The sequence below is a fragment of the Homo sapiens genome, chromosome 7, assembly GCF_000001405.40.
Source record: "Homo sapiens chromosome 7, GRCh38.p14 Primary Assembly".
In the NCBI taxonomy this organism is placed as follows: Eukaryota; Metazoa; Chordata; class Mammalia; order Primates; family Hominidae; genus Homo; species Homo sapiens.
In genome coordinates this window covers 77,062,559-77,067,569 of record NC_000007.14, presented here as the reverse complement: position 1 = coordinate 77,067,569, position 5,011 = coordinate 77,062,559, and the positions used below count along the sequence as shown (strand labels likewise).

The window sequence follows — 5,011 nt, the reverse complement described above, 5'->3', positions numbered from 1 at the left end:
TAGCAAAGTTTCCAGATACAAAATTAATGTACACAAATCAGTAGCTCTTCTAAACACCAACAGCAACCAAGCAGAGAATCAAATCAAGAACTCAACCCCTTTTACAATAGCTGCAAAAAAAAATGAAGTACTTAGGAATATACCTAGCCAAGGAGGTGAAAGACCTCTATGAGGAAAACTACAAAACACTGCTGAAACAAATCATAGATGACACAAACAAATGGAAACACATCCCATGCTCATGGATGGGTAGAATCAATATTGTGAAAATGACCATACTGCCAAAAGCAATCTACAAATTCAACACAATCCCCATCAAAAAACCACCATCATTCTTCACAGAGTTAGAGAAAACAATTCTAAAATTCATATGGAACCAAAAAAGAGTCCCATAGCCAAAGCAAGACTAAGCAAAAAGAACAAATGTGGAGGCATCATATTACCTGACTTCAAACTATACTTTAAGGCCATCATCACCAAAACAGCATGGTACTGGTATAATAATAGGCGCATAGACCAATGGAACAGAATAGAGAACCCAGAAATAAACCCAAACACAGCCAACTGATCTTCGAGAAAGCAAACAAAAACATAAAGTGGGGAAAGGACACCCTTTTCAACAAATAGTGCTGGGATAACTGGCTAGCCACATGTAAGAGAATGAAACTGGATCCTCATCTCTCACCTTATACAAAAATCAACTCAAGATGGATTAAAGACTTAAATCTAAGACCTGAAACTGTACAAATTCTAGAAGATAACATTAGAAAAACCCTTCTAGACATTGGCTTAGGCAAGGATTTCATGACCAGTGTGTGTCTGTAGTTTGAGCTACTCAGAAAGCCGAGGCAGGAAGATTGCTTGAGCCTAGGAGGGGAGGCTGCAGTGAGGTATGATCGGACCACTGCACTCCAGCGTGGGCGACAGAGCAAAACTCTGTCTCCAAAAACAAAAACAAAAACAAGGCCAGGCGTGGTGGCTCACACCTGTAATCCCAGCACTTTGGGAGGCCGAGGTGGGTGGATCACCTGCGGTCAGGAGTTCGAGACCAGCCTGGCCAACATGGTGAAACCCCATATCTACTAAAAATACAAAAATTAGCCGGGCATGGTGGCAGGCGCCTGTAATCCCAGCTACTCTGGAGGCTGAGGCAAGAGAACCCGGGAGGCAGAGGTTGCAGTGAGCCAAGTTCGCACCATTGCACTCTAAGCCTGGGTGACAAGAGTGAAACTCAGTCTCAACAAACAAACAAACAAACAAACAAAGCAAGGAAGGAAATTCTTACACATGCTAAAAGATGGATGAAACCTGAAGACATAATGCTAAGTGAAATGAGCCAGTTACAAAGAAAGACAAATAGTGGTTGCTTCAACCTATGGGAGGTATCTGGAATAGTACAATTCACAGAAGCAGAAAGGAGAGTAGAAGTTTTCAGGGGCTGGAGCGGGGCAGGGAAAGCGAGTTGTTTGTTGAGTGTAGGGTTTCAGTATTGCAAGGTGAAAAAGTTCCAGAGATCTATTGCACAACGATGTGCATATAGTTAATACTACTGTGCTGTCCACTTAAAAATAGTGAAGATGGGCCAGGGGCGGTGGCTCAAGCCTGGAATCCCAGCACTTTGGGAGGCCGAGGTGCATGGATCGCCTGAGGTCAGGAGTTTGAGACCAGCCTGGCCAACGTGGTAAAACTCTGTCTCTACTAAAAATATAAAAATTAGCTGGGCGTGGTGGTGCACGCCTGTAGTCCTAGCTATTCAGGAGGCTGAGGCGGGGAGAATCGCTTGAACCTGGGAGGTGGAGGTTGCAGTGAGCTGAGATGGCACCACTGTACTCCAGCCTGAATGACAGAGAGAGACCTCGTCAAAAAAAAAAAAAAAAAAAAAGCTTAAGATGGGCTGCGTGCGCTGACTCATGCCTGTAATCCCAGCACTTTGGGAGGCTGAGGCGGGCGGATCACCTGAGGTCGGGAGTTCGAGACCAGCCTGGCCAACATGGTGAAACCCCGTCTCTACCAAAATACAAAAATCAGCCGGGCATGGTGGCGGGTGCCTGTAATCCCAGCTATTCAGGAGGGTGAGGCACGAGAATCGCTTGAACCCAGGAGGTGGAGGTTGCAATGAGTCAAGATCGCGCCACTGCACTCCAGCCTGGGTGACAGAGCCAGACTCTGTCTCAAAAGCAAAAAAAAAGAAAAAAGAGAGGCAGCTGAGGGGAGGGACAAGGGTCATTAGTCGACATGGGAGCTGGCTGAGGCTGGTGCCCAGGGATAGGGGAGCTGAGTGGGTGCAGGCCCAGGAAGTGAGCAATTGCCAGTGACACCGGGTGGAGGGACAGGTGGAGGAGGAGTTGTGAGCTCAGCTGCACAGGACATTACTCCAAATGGGGCTGAGGAGCAAGGGGGACCCCCACACTCCCCACCTCCCAATGCTGAGGCATGTGGGTAGGGGGCTATCCAGGAGGGCTTCAGGGAAAAAGTGTTCTGAAGGAAGAGGCAGGAGGGTGGTGAAGGGGACATTTGGGGGCCACCCCTTCTCCAGCTGGCAAAATTGTCCTGTCCCCGCTGGGTGCGGTGGCTCATGCCTGTAATCCCAGCACCTGGGGAGGCTGAAGCGGGAGGATCACTTGAGGTCAGGAGTTTGAGACCAGCTTGGGCCACACGGTGAAACCCGCACCCCACCCCCCACCCCGCCCAATCTCTACTAAAAATACAAAAATTAGCTGGGCATGGTGGTGCACGCCTGTAGTCCCAGTTACTCATGAGGCTGAGGGTTGAGGCATGAGAATTGCTTGAGCTGAGGGTGGTTGGGGGAGGTTGGGGGGATGGAGGGTAGAGCTGAGCTGGGATAGTGCACCACCGCATCCAGTCTGGGTGACAGAGTGAGACCCTGTCTCAAAAAAAAAAAAAAAATGCATCTTATACCTTGAGGGTCATGGAGTCTTTCACGCCTTCCTGTGTGTGTGTGTGTGTGTGTGTGTGTGTGTGTATGTGTGTATTCAGGTCAACTTCTGGAATTTCTGTTTCATTTCTTGGATCAATCTGTCTGTTCAGGTGTCAGTACTAGACTATTTTAATCCCTGTATGTATGTATGCATGTATGTATGTATGTATTTTGAGACGGAGTTTTGCTCTTGTTGCCCAGGCTAGAGTGCAATGGTGCGGTCTCAGCTCACTGCAACCTCCACCTCCTGGGTTCAAGCGATTCATTCTCCTGCCTCAGCCTCCCAACTAGCTAGGATTACAGGTGCCCACCACCACGCCTGGCTAATTTTTGTGTTTTTAGTAGAGATGGGGTTTCACCATTTTGGCCAGGCTGGTTGAGAACTCCTGACCTCAAGTCATCCGCCCGCCTCTGCCTCCCAAAGTGCTGGGATTACAGGCGTGAGCCACTGCGCCCAGCCAATCGCTGTATTTTTATAGTCTGCTTTGTTCTGTAAATGATCCCTCTCGAGTGTAACTCACTAGTGGGCTGTGTCCTTCTTTGGTGAATGTCTCTTTTTCCCATTAAACTGTAACTCTCTGAGGGCGGGGACTGGATCTGTTTATCTGTTTAGTTCTCCCACTGAATCCTCACTGTTAACCTAGGGGTCTGGCACAATAATTGTGTCCAGTAATTTTTTTTTTTTTTTTTTTTGAAGCAGGGTCTTGCTGTGTCACTCAGGCTGGAGTGCAGTGGTGCGATCAGAGCTCACTGCAGCCTCGAACTCCCAGGCTCAAGTCATCCTCCTACCTCAGCTTCCTTAGTACCTGGGATTACAGGCACATGTCACCATGCCCATCTAATTTTTAAATTTTTTACTTTTTCTTTTTTTTTTTTGAGATGGAGTCTAGGTTTGCTGTCCAGGCTGGAGTGCAATGGCATGATCCTAGCTCACTACAACCTCCGCCTCCTGGGTTCAAGCGATTCTCCTGCCTCAGCCTCCCACGTAGCTAGGATTACAGGTGCCCACCACCATGCCCAGCTAATTTTTGTATTTTTAGTAGAGACGGGGTTTCACCATGTTGGCCAGGCTGGTCTCAAACTCCTGACCTCAAATGATCCATCCCCCTCGGCCTCCCAAAGTGCTGGGATCACAGGCATGAGCCACTGCGCCCAGCCAATTTTTAAATTTTTTCTGGAGATGGGGTGCTCGCTATGTTGCCCAGGCTGATCTCAAACTCTAGGCCTCAAGTCCTCCTGCCCCGACCTCCCAAAGTGCTGAGATTACAGGCATGAGCCACTGTGCTCAGCCCCAACAATTATTTTTGACAGATAATAGGGATGTCTCCTTGCTCTCTGTGTCTGGCCAAGTAGCCCCAGGTGACACTCGTTTTTTTTGTTTGTTTGTTTTTGAGACGGAGTCATGCTCTGTTGCCCAGCCTGGAGTCCAATGCCGTCGTCTCGGCTCACTGCAATCTCTGCCTCCTGGGTTTAAGTGATTCTCCTGCCTCAGCCTCCAGAGGAGCTGGGACTACAGGTATGTGCCACCACACCTGGCTAATGTTCTTATTTTTAGTAGAGACGGGATTTCACTATGTTGGCCCGGCTGGTCTCGAACTCCAGACCTCATGATCCACCCGCCTTGGCCTCCTAAAGTGCTGGGATTACAGGTGTGAGCCACCATGCCCGGCCATGACACTCGTTTTATAACATCAGGCTGGTGACCAGAATGTCATGGCTTCTGGGCAGAGGCCAGCTTCCATGCCGTGTCCTGTCTTCCTAGTGCAGATGTCCCCAGCTGCAGTGAGTACCAGTGTGAGGGAATGGGCTCCAGACTCCCAGAGGGGCCAGAGGGATGGCCACGCCAAGCTCTGGGGAGTAGCCGATTCCCCAGCACCTGCCTGCCCATGCACCTTTGGGGTGACTCATGAGACAGGGTGGGGCTCCCACCTGCCCTCTCCCAAAAGGCAATCAGCTATAAAGGCTCTCAGAGGCCCACCCAGCCCCAGGTCACCAAACAAGCCCCAGTTCCATGGCAACCATTATACCCATTCATCAAGGAGATGTAGAGGGAGGTGCTTCCTGGTTCACCCC

The 5,011-nt window shown here is 49.5% G+C and overlaps 1 annotated feature.

Moving 5' to 3' along the window:
* Positions 2,238-2,912: an enhancer, noted in NCBI's record as "H3K27ac-H3K4me1 hESC enhancer chr7:76693975-76694649 (GRCh37/hg19 assembly coordinates)". NCBI's record gives its function as "activates a minimal SCP1, AML or CMV promoter by ChIP-STARR-seq in primed H9 embryonic stem cells {active_cell/tissue: H9 hESC(primed)}" and the evidence as "EXISTENCE:reporter gene assay evidence [ECO:0000049][PMID:30033119]".